Genomic DNA, 12,665 nt, shown 5'->3' on the forward strand with positions numbered 1-12,665 from the left:
GTTTCATCATTGCAACATATGCCTCCGGTGACATACATTCACACCATCTGCTGTGGGATACGCCAGTGCCACGCGTGATCGCATTGTCTCCACCTCGGATTCTCACCGACCCTGTTTGCACCTGTCCTGGAAAGCGGTGTCTGCTGGCAGGAGCCCCACGGCTTTTAGAAGTGGGGCACACCACTGCTCTTTCAACGGAGGAGGGAGGCAGAGGGCTCACTGATCAGTGAACATTTAGCTGACACCACGCCTTGAGGGCCATGGGATCATTCTGTGCAGCAGCGAGGCCCTGCCTGCCTCACCAGATGTGCTGAGCCCTTCCTTTCTAACCAGGAGGGGTCCAAACTAAGATCTGAAGAGGATTCCTGAGAACCCAGCAGGCGCCTTGAAGCTCCCCCTCCATCAGTGGAAGTCGGCTCAAGGAGGTCCTGAAGACTGGACTCCTGGGGGTTTGGCCCTGGGACAGGATACTCAAGGCCCCTTCTCCCACGCCGCCACAAACTGGACCCCTGAACCAGCCGCCGCCGTGGCAGCAGCAGGAGCCTCGCCGCCACCACGGAGCAGTGGCGTTATTGAAAGGGGACGCAGCCTAACTGCCAGGAGGGAAGCGCGAGTCGGCCCAGCCAATGCGCATGCGCGAGGCGCGAGCGGCTTCTCCCATTACAGTGGTTCCCACGGTTGTCTTAGAAACAAGTCCTCGAGGCTTGGCAAAGCGGGAGCCTTCCGCGGCAGAGCTTGGGTGTCCGGGCTCTGAGGCTCCGGTCTGACCTCTCCACGGGGTCGACGGGAATGTCTCCGGATGCCAGGAGTTGCAAAGGGCAGACCTAGATGAGGAAACCCCAGGCAGAGTCCTGGGGAAGCAGCACGGCATCCGAGCCTCAGGCTTGCCTGGACGGTGTTGGTTGGGGTGAGTCTCCTCAAAAGTCGTGCCGCAGCCGTGATCTCGAGGACAGGTCGGCCTGCATGCCCCTGGGCTGCTCTGTCAACCGAGGGTCGCTTTCTTTGAGAGCAGAACCACGCAGCCTCATGGGTTGCCTGGGGTTGTGTGTTTCAATGCTTCTGCTCTAGGACTCTGTGTGTGTGTGTGTGTGTGTGTGTGTGTGTGTCGGTGTGTGTCTGTGTGTGTGTCTCCCATGATCTCTTCTCTCTCTGTCTCTCAGTCTCTGTGTGTTTCTTTCCCTCTCTCTATTGGTTTGTGTGTGTGTGCCCGTCTGCTTGTGTGTCTTTGGACAAATGTGCCCTGTGCGCCACAAAGCGGTTTCTCGCATGGCGGCCTGTCTTTGGTGAGCCTCTTTCTGGGTCTCTGCCTGGGTTATGAGGCTGGTTGTAAATTGTTTTCACTGTCGCGGAACCGCTTTGGGTGTGTGAAGACCTGGCCCACGTGAGGAGATGCGACGGTCCCGGAGCAATTGAAATCTCATCCCAATCCTGAGTGGCCTCTTTTCTAGCATCAAGATGAAAACACAGCAACCGAGGACAAGAGCCTCACAGGAGCTCTTTTTCCCACAGGACAGCAGCTGACCCAGGTGAGAGAAGATGCTTGTATCTTTTCACGGCTTTTGTCTGAGAAATGAAGCCACACCACAATACAGTCTGCAAGAGGAAGCTGGGAATGGGAGATGGCAACAATCGCTGTCATTGGAACGCTGGCCTCTCTGGACAAGCCACCCTTTTGGAACCCCGCCCCTTATGCCCATTGCGGTGGCACGGTGCTGTACCCTGCCTGGGCTACAGCCTCTACTCTGTTGTCACACTCGCTGTGCCTCCCCTGTTTCTCAGAGGCCTAGATGGCTCTCGCTCTGGCCAAATTTCTTCAACAAAGATGACTTCCCAGTCCGTCAGGGAGACACTACCTGGAGATCCATGTTATGATTGTTTCTCTCTCCAAACGTGTTTCAGCTGGATTCCGCAGGTCTAATGACCCTGGAGCTCTGGGTGTCCATACATGTCTCAGGCAGGGAAGCTTCCTTCTTCTCCAGGTTTCCTCTCATGGGTGGGGCTGTGGCTGGGGCTGGGGCTGGGTGCAGCCGAAGTTGCTTCAGGGCTACCAGGGCGGTGGAGGTTTGGGGGTGGGGCGAATTTTGCAGAAACCTCTTTGCTCCTCTGCTAGGCATTTGAAAACGTGGCTTGGGTCAGGCACAGGCGCCCCCACCCCCCGGGTCCCAGGTGTTCTTAGATTTTCCTTGGCATTGATGGAAAGGTCACTCGTTCCCCACTTCCGCCGGCACATGCCTGGACACCACCATTTGTTTCGCCGTCGCCCCGTATGCCTCCGGTGACACACATTCACACCATCTGCTGTGGGATACGCCAGTGCCACGCGTGGTCACATGGTCTGCACCTGGCATTCGCCACTGTTCCTGTTTGCACGAGCCCTGTAAAGCGCGGTCGGCTTTCCGGAGCCCCAGGGCTTTTAGAAGAGGGGTAGGCCACTGCTCTTTCAAAGGAGGAGGGAGGCAGAGGGTTGAAGGATCAGTGAATTTGCAGCTGACACTAGGCCTCGAGACCTATGGGATCATTCTTTGCTGCAGCGAGGCCCTGCCTGCCTCAGCAGATGTGGCGAGCCCATCCTATCTCACTCGGTGGGGGCCAAAATGGGATCTGAAGGGGTGTCCTGAGAACACAGCAGGCGTCCTGAAGCTCCCCCTCCCTCCCTCGGTGGAAGTCAGCTCAAGGAGTTCCTGAGGACAGGACTCCTGGGGGTTTGGCCCTGGGACAGGACAAGACACCCGCGGTCCCCTCTCCCACGCTGCCCCAAACTGGAGGCCGGATCCAGCCGCCGCCGCGCCTGCAGCTGGAGCCTCGCTGCCGCCGCGCTGCGGTGGCGTTCTTTAAAGGGGACCCAGCCTGACTGCCAGGAGCAGAGTTCGAGTCGGGCCAGCCAATGCGCATGCGCGAGGCGGGAGCGGCTTCTCCCGTCACAGTGGTTCCCACGGTTGTCTTAGAAAGCAGTCCTCGAGGCATGGCAAAGTAGGAGCCCTCCATGGCAGTGCTTGAGTGTCGGGGCTCTGAGTCTCCGGCCTGACCTCTCCACGTGGTCGACGGGAACGTCCCCAGATGCCAGGATTCGCAAAGGGCTGACCAGGATGGCGAAACCTTAGGCAGAGTCCGGGGAAAGCAGCACGGCATCCCAGCCTCAGGCCTGCCCGGACGGTGTTGGTTGGGGTGAGTCTCTCCAAAAGTAGTGCCGCCGTGATCTCGAGGACATGTAGGCCTGCGTGCCCATGGGGTGGTCTCTCACCCGAGGATCGTTCTCGTCGAGAGCACAACCCCGAAGCCTCAGGTGTTGCCTGGGGGTGTGTGTTTCAATGCCTCTGCTCTAGGACTCTGTGTGTGTCTCTGTGTCTGTGTGTGTGTGTGTGTGTGAGTGTGTGTGTCTATGTGTGTGTCTCCCATTCTCTCTTCTCTATCTCTCAGTGTCTGTGTGTTTCTTTCCCTCTCTCAGTGTTTTGTGTGTGTTTGCCCGTGTGCGTGTGTGTCTTTGCCGAATGTGCCCTGTGCGCCACAAAGCGGTTTCTCGCAGGGCGGCCTGTCTTTGGTGACCCTCTTTCTGCGTCTCTGCCTGGGTCATGAGTCCGGTTGTCAATCTTTTTCGCCGCCGCGGATCCGCTTTGGGTATGTGAAGGCCTGGCCCACTTGAGGAGATGCGTTGGTCACGGAGCAAATGAAATCTCATTCCCATCCTGAGCGGCCAGTTTCCTAGGATCAAGATGAACACACTGCAGCTGAAGACAAGAGCCCCACAGGGGCTCTTTGTCCTGCAGGAGAGCAGCGGACCCACGTCAGAGAAGATGCTGGTATCTTTTCACGGCTCTTTTCTGAGAAATGAAGCCACACCACCATACGGTCTGCAAGAGGAAGCCGGGAATGGGAGATGGCAACAGTCCCTGTCACTGGAACGCTGGCCTCTCTGGACAAGCCATCCCTTTGGAACCCCTCCCCTTATGACCGTGGCGGTGGCACGGTGCTTTACCCTGCCTGGGCTCCGGCCTCTGCTCTGTCTTCCCTCTTGCTCTGCCTCCCCTGTTTCTCAGGGACCTGGATGCATCTCGCTCTGGCCAAATGTCTTCAACAAAGATGACTTCCCAGTCCGTCAGGGTGACATTTCCTGGAGATCCGTGTCCTGAATGTTTCTCTCTCCAAACGTGTTTCTCCTGGATTCCGCAGGTCTCATGACCCTGGAGCTCTTGGCTTCCATATGTGTCTCAGGCAGGGAAGCTTCCTTCTTCTCCACGTTTTCCCTCATGGGTGGGTGGATTGCCTAGAAGGAGCGCTAGGCGACAGTGACTGGCCTTGTCTTCCAGGACAGGTGGTGTCGCATTTCCTCTGCACTTCCTGTCTCATTTTTGAGGGACATCCTCTCCTCTGCTCCTGGGTGAACTGACTCCCTTGATCTTCTGGCCGAAACGAATGTCAGGGAACCAAAGGGACTGGGCTGGGGCAGGGGCTGGGGTTGGGGCTGGGGGCAGCCTAAGTTGTGTCAGGGATACCAGGGCGGTGTAGGGTTGGAGGTGGGGCGAATTTTGCAGAAACCTCTTTGCTCCTCTGGTAGGCATTTGAAAACGTGGCTTGGGTCAGGCACAGGCCCCCCCCCACCCCCCGGTTCCCAGGTGTTCTTCAATTTTCCTTGGCATTGAGGGAAAGGCCACTCGTTCCCCTCTTCCCCCGGCACATGCATGGAGAACACCGTTTGTTTCGCGTCGCCCCGTATGCCTCCGGTGACACACATTCACACCATCTTCTGTGGGATACGCCAGTGCCATGCATGGTCACATTGTCTCCACCTCGGATTCGCCCTTGTTCCTGTTTGTAGGTGTCCTGTAAAGGGCGGTTGGCTTTCCGGAGCCCCAGGGCTTTTAGAAGCGGGGCAGGCCACTGCTCTTTCAAAGGAGGAGGGAGGCAGAGGGCTGAGGGATCAGTGAATTTGCAGCTGACACTAGGTCTTGAGACCTATGGGATCATTCTGTGCTGCAGCGAGGCGCTGCCTGCCTCACCAGATGTGGTGAGCCCATCCTATCTCACTCGGCGGGGGCCAAAATCGGATCTGAAGGGGAGTCCCGAGAACCCAGCAGGTGTCCTGAAGCTCTCCCTCCCTTGGTGAGAATTGGCTCAAGGAAGTCCTGAGGACAGGACTCCTGGGGGTTTCACCCTGGGACAGGACACTGGCCACACCCTCTACCGGGCCGCTGCAAACTTTACCCCGGATCCAGTCGCTGCCGAGGCTGCAACAGGAGCCCATCTGCTACCGCACAGTAGCCATTGTTGAAAGGGGCAGCTGCCTGCCGTCCAGCACCGGAGCTTTAGTCGGCCCAGCCAGTGTGCCTCCACGTGGCTCTAGCTGATTGTCTCATCACAGTGATTTCCACTGTTGTCTTAATATCCAGTCCCTTAATTTTGGCATAGCAGGAGTTCTCCATGACTGTGCTTTGGTGAAGGGGCTTAATGCCTCCGCTGTCTTGCAGGAGTTTTAATACCCCTCCCATCCTGTGCTGTCTCCTTGCTAGGATCAAGACGACTGCAAACCAGCCAAGGACAAAGGCCTCACAGGTGCTCATTGTCCACCCACAGGCGTGTGCCCACAGACCTTCAAGAAGATGGTTCTCACTCCTCTCGCCCTTTGCCCTCATTGAGAAAGCTACCCACAGCTATACACTGGGACGGAGAAGGAAGCTGGCTACAAGATGGGGCAAGCATGTCTGTCACTCAAACGCTGGCCTTCCTCGCCAAGTCACCCATTTGGCACATTTTCCCGGATGCCCGTGATAGTGGCATTGTGCTGTGGCATTGGCCTCTGCTCTGTCCTCCCTCTTGTTCTGTCTGCCCAGTTCCTGTGAAGCCTAGAGGTTTCTTAGTCTGGCTCAATGTCTTCAACAAAGAACACTTCCCAGTCCATTAGGGAGAAATTTCGCTGGGCTCCCTTTTATGATTGCTTCCCTCCCCAAACCTGTTTCTGGATGATAGGTTGTCATGATCCTGGAGTTCTGGGCTTCCATACCTGTCTTGGACAGGAAAGCTCCCTTTGTCTGCATGTCCTAAGTGATGGCTTCGTGGTCCATCAAGGAAGAGCGGGAGGCAACCCCACTGTGGCTGACCTTTGCCTTCTAGAAAAGTTAGTGTTGCATCCCACCTGCCCTTCCTCTCTCATTCCTGAGGGCCATCCCGTTCCTCTGCTCCTGGGGAAAGTGCCTCCAAGCACTGAATCTTTTGGCTGCCACGGATGTCAGGGAGCCAAAGGGACTGGGTTTTGCTGGGTGCAGAGGAGGTGGCATCAGGGGTACCTACAGGTGGCAGGATGTCGGTGTGGTGTCGTTTGTCGAAACCTCTTGGCCCCTCTGGCAGTCATCCCTGAATGTGGCTTGGACTCAGGCACAGGCCCTGTCTCACAGGTTTTCTAGTGTGCTTGGCTTTTCCTTGGCTTTGTGTGGGAGGTCCCAGTGACCCACCTGCACACACCTGGACATCACTATCCGTCTCAGCATCGCCCCATATGGCCTCAAAGACACACACTGACTCCATCTGCTCTTGGGGAACATTAGTGCCACGTGTGGTCACATTGGCTCCATCTCGGACTCACCTCTGTCTCTCCTTGCACATGCTGCGGAAAGCAGTGTCGGGATGCCAGAGCCCCGAACCTTGGAGATGAAGTCAGGCCACTGCTCCACCTAGGAAGGAGGGAGGCAGTGGGCTCATGGGTCAGTGCATTTTCAGCTGACAGTTCGCCTTGCAGCCCTTAGGATCTTTCTGTGCCCCAGCGAGACCCTTCCCGCCTCACTGCATTGTAACCCCATTCCTGATCACCCAGTGGGATCCATAGTCAGGTCGAAGAGGATTCCAGAGAGCCCAGCCACACCCTGAAGCTCCTCCTCCACCGGCAACCAAAGCAGAAGACCGATCAAGAAGGTCCTGATGACAGGACCTCTATGGGTACAACCCTTGGGTCTCCCGCAGGACCCTCTCGTAGTCCTCTTCCCACCCGCCGCCTCGGACTGCGCTGCTGCTGCCACCGCTGCCCCAGTCCCCTCAGCCGCGCGTCGCCGCCATTTTTTAAAGGATCTGCCGCCGGACTCTCGGGAGCAAGCGGGGATTCAGTCTCGCCAGTGCGCATGCGCAAGGCCTGAGCCTCCGCTTTGGTCGTAGTGATTGCCACTGTTGCCCGTGGATGGGTCCCCGAGACTTTGCGAAGTAGGAGCCCCGTGTGATAGTGCGTCAGAGTTGGGTCTGAGAGCAGTCCTGGCCAAGGCATTAACAGGATCGTCTCCAGAGCCTGGGATTCTCGGAGGGTTGACCACCAGGAAGAAACCTCAGAAGGAAGAAACCTCAGAAGGTAGAAACCTCAGGCGGATCGCCGGGGCGGCAGCGCGAGATCCCAGCCTCAGGCCCGGATTCGGGGAGGGTCGACGAGGCCCCTTTCCCAATCTTCACTTCACCCGCCGCAGCACCAGTCCCCGCAGCCACCGCTCCGCGGTCATTTTTCTTTTCTTTCTTTCTTTTTTTTTTTTTATAGTCGGAATCTCACTCTGTCACTCAGTGGAGTGCAGTGGCGGGATCTCAGCTGACTGCAAACTCTGCCGCCCAGGTTCAAGTGATTCTCTTGCCTCCACCTCCCGAGTACCTGGTACTAGAGGGATTAGTCAGAGTCCGGGCTAAGACCAGTCCTGGCCAGGGCATCAACAGGATAGTCTCTGGAGGCCGGGATTCACGGAGGGTCGTCCAGGAGGAAGAAACTGCAGGTGGAGGGCCGGGCAAGCAGCGCAGGATCCCAGGTTCAGGCCTGCACGGACGGTGTGCCAGTGAGTCTCTTCAAAAAAGGAGAGGTTTGCTTGTGTGCCCGTGGGCTGCTCTCTCACCAGTGGGTTGTTGTCATGGAGAGCAGAACCCTGAAAATTCAGGGGCTGCCTGCGTGTAGGTGTTACCGTGCCACTGCTGTATGTCTTTGTGCGTTTGTGTGTGTGCGTATGTCTCTCTCTTGTTTCTCTCTCTCCCCTTTCTCACTCTTTTGCTCTGTGTCCCTGTGTGCATGTGTGTGTGTGTTGGGACATATGTGCCCTGTGCGCCAGAGGACGGTATCTTCTATGTCCGCCTTTCTTGTGGTCAGCCTCTCCCCGCGTCTCTGCCTGGCTTGTGTGGCCCGTTGTCAGTCATTTTTCTGGCGGTTCCAGTTTAGGTTTGTGAAGGTCCAGATGAGGTGAGGAGCTGCGTCTCTCTCATAAGAATTTAAATCACCTCCCCACCCTGAGAGGCCTCTTTTCCAGGATAAAGGCCTCCACCCCCAAGCCAAGGATAATAGCCTCACCGGAGAGGTCATTGTCTACCTGCAGGAGCAGTGCAGAGCGACCTGAAAGAAGGTGGTTCTCATTCATCTCTCTCTTTCATCTCCTTGAGAAATCTAGCCACAGGGTAACACAGGTTTTGAGAGGATGGGAACGGGACGTGGCAAGGATCTGTGAGTGTGCAGGCTGTGTTTCACATATCATTAAACATAGTCCAGTGAGGGTTCTGCAGATAACTGGCGTTTAAGTTTGTTTTATTGAATCAAGGAAAAAGAAAAAATACTGAGAAAAAAATGACGCAACTTGCCTGCCAGCCCATCTGACTGTTACAAATTTAATAGTAGTTTTTATTTATCTTCTCATGTAAAGGTCCTTGGCAGTGATACCTAATTTCCTAAGATAGCCTTGCTTTATATTGTGTGATTAAGATGTCATGCATATCAGAGTATCTGGAAATTCTTCTCAACGTCCTTTACATACGTGATTAATCACATTTCCAAAATAACATACCAAAATGAATAACAGAAAATCATTTTAAGTTGTGGTTCCTTCATGCACAAAACATTTCATGTGTGTCTGGCACTCTTCCGGCCACAGATTTCATCTTAACCTAAGTATTGAAATGCTTGTGCCCTTTGATTAATTTTTCTATGTAAATACTTTGATAATAAGCTACACTGAGGCCGGTGCAGTGGCTCACACCTCTCATCCCAGTTCTTTGGGAGGCCGAGGCCAGCGGATCACGAAGTCAGGAGATCAAGACCATCCTGGCCAACACAGTGAAACCCCGTCTCTTCAAATATACAAAGAATTAGCCAGGTGAGGCCAGGCTCTGGCTCATGCCTGTAATTCCACACTTTGGGAGGCTGAGGAGGGTGGATCACCTAAGGTCAGGAGTTCGAGACCAGTCTGCCCAACATGGTGAAACCCTGTTTCTACTAAAAATACAAAAAATTAGCAGGTTGTTGTGTCAGGCACCTGTAATCCCAGCTACTCGGGAGGTTGAGGCAGAAGAATCACTTGAACCCAGGAGGCGGAGGTTGCATTGAGCTGAGATCATGCCACTGCACCGTCCGGCCTGGGGACAAGAGTGAAACTCTGTCAAAAAAAAAAAACAAAACTGGTCTATACTAAAAATACAAAAATTAGACCCTGAAGGTCATGTCCAAATGAGAAAGACATTGTTTGGCTCAAATTGTCTGACACTAAGGAATAGTGCAGACTGGACAAATGAGGTGACTGACACCTGTAATCCCAGCACTTTGGGAGGCCGAGGCCGGTAGATCACCTGAGGTCAGGAGTTGGAGACCAGCCTGACCAACATCGTGAAACTCCATCTCTACTAAAAAAAAATACATGAAAATTAGCCGGCTATGGTGGTGCATGCCTGTGTATCCCAGCTACTCAGGAGTCTGAGGCAGGAGACTTACTTGAAACTGGGTGGCAGGGGTTGCGGTGAGTGGGGATCACACCACTGCACTACAGCCTGGGCAACAAGAGTGAAACTCTGTCTCAGAAAACAGAATAGTGCAGAGTAAGAGCAGATTTATATATGCATGTATGTATGTATGTATGTATGTATGTATTTATTTTCAGAGAAGCAGGGAATCTGGAATTTTGGGTGAAATGTCTGTTTCCAGAAGGTGAAAATGCTCTCAAATGGAAAATTCAGGTTAGCCTATATCAAGCTTCTCCTTGTTCTATGTGTGAAGACCATGGGACAGAGGGAGCAGCTTGAGCCAAGTCAGGATGGTAGGATGGGACAGGTGGCCAGGGCTGCTGCACTGGGAACCCTGGTGGAGGATTTGGCTGGAAATGCAGGTGGGACCAGACCATGAAGACTCTCAAACACAGACCTGAGGACTCTGAGCTTTATCCTGGGGGCGGCAAGAAGCCATGTTAGGTGAAGGAACAAGGCTGTTTCTCCCACAGCACTAGTGCAAGGAAAGGTCAGGGAGGCCCTCAGTGGAAGCTTGCTGCTGGATTTGTTGATGTGCCTTTTCTCCTGCCTGCACTAGGGTCAGAATGGCCTTGGGTACTGCACACTTCCTACCAGGAATAGAAGGCGCCAGAGCTATAGCACTTCTCTTCCCTTTAGTTCTTTGGAAGGATGAGCAAATTATTCACCCTCTCTGAGCCTCAGTTTCCTCATCCATAAAATGATGACAGTACACCAACCTCGCAGGTCACAAGGATGTTATGAAATCAGGTGAGCACAGCATAGCAGTTGTATTTTTGGGTCCTATTATTACATGTGAACTAAGTTGCCTTGTAGAAAAAGCACAGGCTCAGGGGACCTGTGTTTCAATCCCACTAAGCCCCTGTAATGCCCACCTCTCAGGGATGATGGAAAGATTAAGTTCAAGGAGACGATGCTTGTGCAGCATCTGATACCCAGCAGATACCTAAGAACCTAACCTACCACCCCCCTGAGCAAGCACAACAGTCCTGCTCCTCCTGCAAGTACTGGGGATGCTGCCTCCCACCCGCCTTAGAACACTGCTCCTCCTCCCTCTCTGCAGGAGGCATTTTGTAGGCCTCAGTTGCTGGGCTTGCTGTCCTCTCACCTGCCTCTCAGCATGGGGCTCAGAGCACACATTCTTCACCTTTGCAAGAAGCTTCTCTAGGCATCCCTGCCCCCAGGCTTGCTGAGTGCATTCACCTATTGTCTTATTTATAATCCAGACAGAGTTACTCCCTACTGTGTAGATGATGAAATGGGGACCTAGAAAGGGAAGGAAAGACCAACACTTTGAGCACCTGCAATGTGCCTGAGGCAATGTACGCATTAGCTCTGCTTCACAGCAGCCCAAGAGGGAGGTATTATTCTTCCCCTGTGTAAATGTGGGTGTTGAGGCTCAGAGAAGGGCAGTGACTTGTCCAAGGTCACATAGCAAGCAACCGTCAGTGGCTGAGGGCTAACCCAGGTCTTTCTGACTTCAGAGTGTGGGATTTAGAACAAACATTTGCAACGTGAGATTGACAGATCCATCCCCCAGTGCTGTTCCAAAGACCAGATGGGGTCGTAAGTGTGTGAGTACCTGATATGGTGCCCAAGGACTGGGAGTAGAAGCAGAATCCCATCCACCTCCACCTAATCATACAGAGAAAGGAGACAGGAGCCCAGGGAGGGCAGTGCTGTGCCCAAGCTGTCAGCAAGCAGTAGGCAGAGCCCAGGCCCCTGCTTTCCCATGCCCACCCCTTCCCAGTTCAGGGCAAGGCCACCTCTCCAGGCCCTTTCCCTCCCCTAGAGAGGAAACTCCCCAAGTTCCTCTGACCAGACAGGAGAGCGAATGAGAGCAGAAAATTCCACTTCGGCACACACACCTGGAGCCTGAAGCTGAAAGCTGGAATCCCAGACTTTGACACTCAAGAAGGCACCTCCACACTCTTTCAGCACCTCCACCTGGGACCTTCATGAGCACCTTGCTTCCCTCCCAGGGGAGAGGGGTGTCCCAGAGACACTGGGGCCCTTAGAAGGCACTATGAGTTGGCAGTGACTGCAGCAGCGTGGTGGGATTGCGGGTGGTGTAGGAAGCAGGGGAAGCAGATCACAGCACTCAGGATGGCCAGAGCTGAAGGCATCAGAGTCCCCTGCCCTTGCTCTGCAAAAAAAAAAACCCATGGCATATTCCCCTCCCACTCCACACCTCCCACGGTCAGCAGTAGGCCCCAGAGGAGGAGCAGCGAGGCCTCAGGAGGACAGCAGCCACTGCTGGCAAGACGTTGGTGTTCTCCTGTTGAACTGCACAGGTTGTCAGCATCAGACAAGGTCGCTCTGTGACCATGATGGGTCAAGACAAAGCAAGGTCACTTGGTAGCTATCATGGCTCAGCTCATGCAAAATATGGACAAAAATGACCTCATACCCCCTCCCCTGTGTCTATGTCTTCACCACTACCTCTTTGTCAATTGCAGCGTTAGCTTTGTTTTTGTCTTCCTTCCTTCTAGGTAAGATTGGGGAAGATGCCAGGTGATAGAATCCACCCTGCCTCTGACAGCATCCAATCTGGAGCAAAGGCTTATTTCAACCCTCCCCCAAGCTCCCAATACAAGCCCAAATTCTGGAACAGGTCCTTTCCAACACCTCCTTCAGAGAAGCTCCCTGGCTCCAGGCAGTGCTTGCTCCCCTCACTGCAGCAGGAAGCCTAACTTGCGAACTGCAGGTGTGCTCCAGGTGGTCACTGGATGCAAGGCATTGACAGATGGATCCCATCGATACCCCCACTGCAAAACCATGTAAGCATATCATCCCCCACTTGCACATGAGGAAACGGAGGCCCACAGGGTGGGGAAGGGAAGACATAATTTGTCCTTCAAATGCGATACCGGTGAGATGTGAGAGGCAGCACCCCTCATAACTCTTCGAGGCAGTGGGCACACCAGGACCCTTCC

General features: G+C 54.4%; 1 long non-coding RNA gene across 1 annotated transcript in view; it reads left to right on the forward strand.

Annotated features, from left to right (window-relative positions):
• Nucleotides 1–12,665, forward strand: part of FAM182A (family with sequence similarity 182 member A) — a 32,304-nt gene that overhangs the window by 2,082 nt on the left and 17,557 nt on the right. The window contains exon 2 of the long non-coding RNA NR_026713.1: nucleotides 12,222–12,509. This is a non-coding gene — a long non-coding RNA (family with sequence similarity 182 member A). The remainder of the gene's footprint in view (nucleotides 1–12,221; nucleotides 12,510–12,665) is intronic.

Source organism: Homo sapiens, chromosome 20 (assembly GCF_000001405.40).
Source record: "Homo sapiens chromosome 20, GRCh38.p14 Primary Assembly".
NCBI lineage: Eukaryota > Metazoa > Chordata > Mammalia > Primates > Hominidae > Homo > Homo sapiens.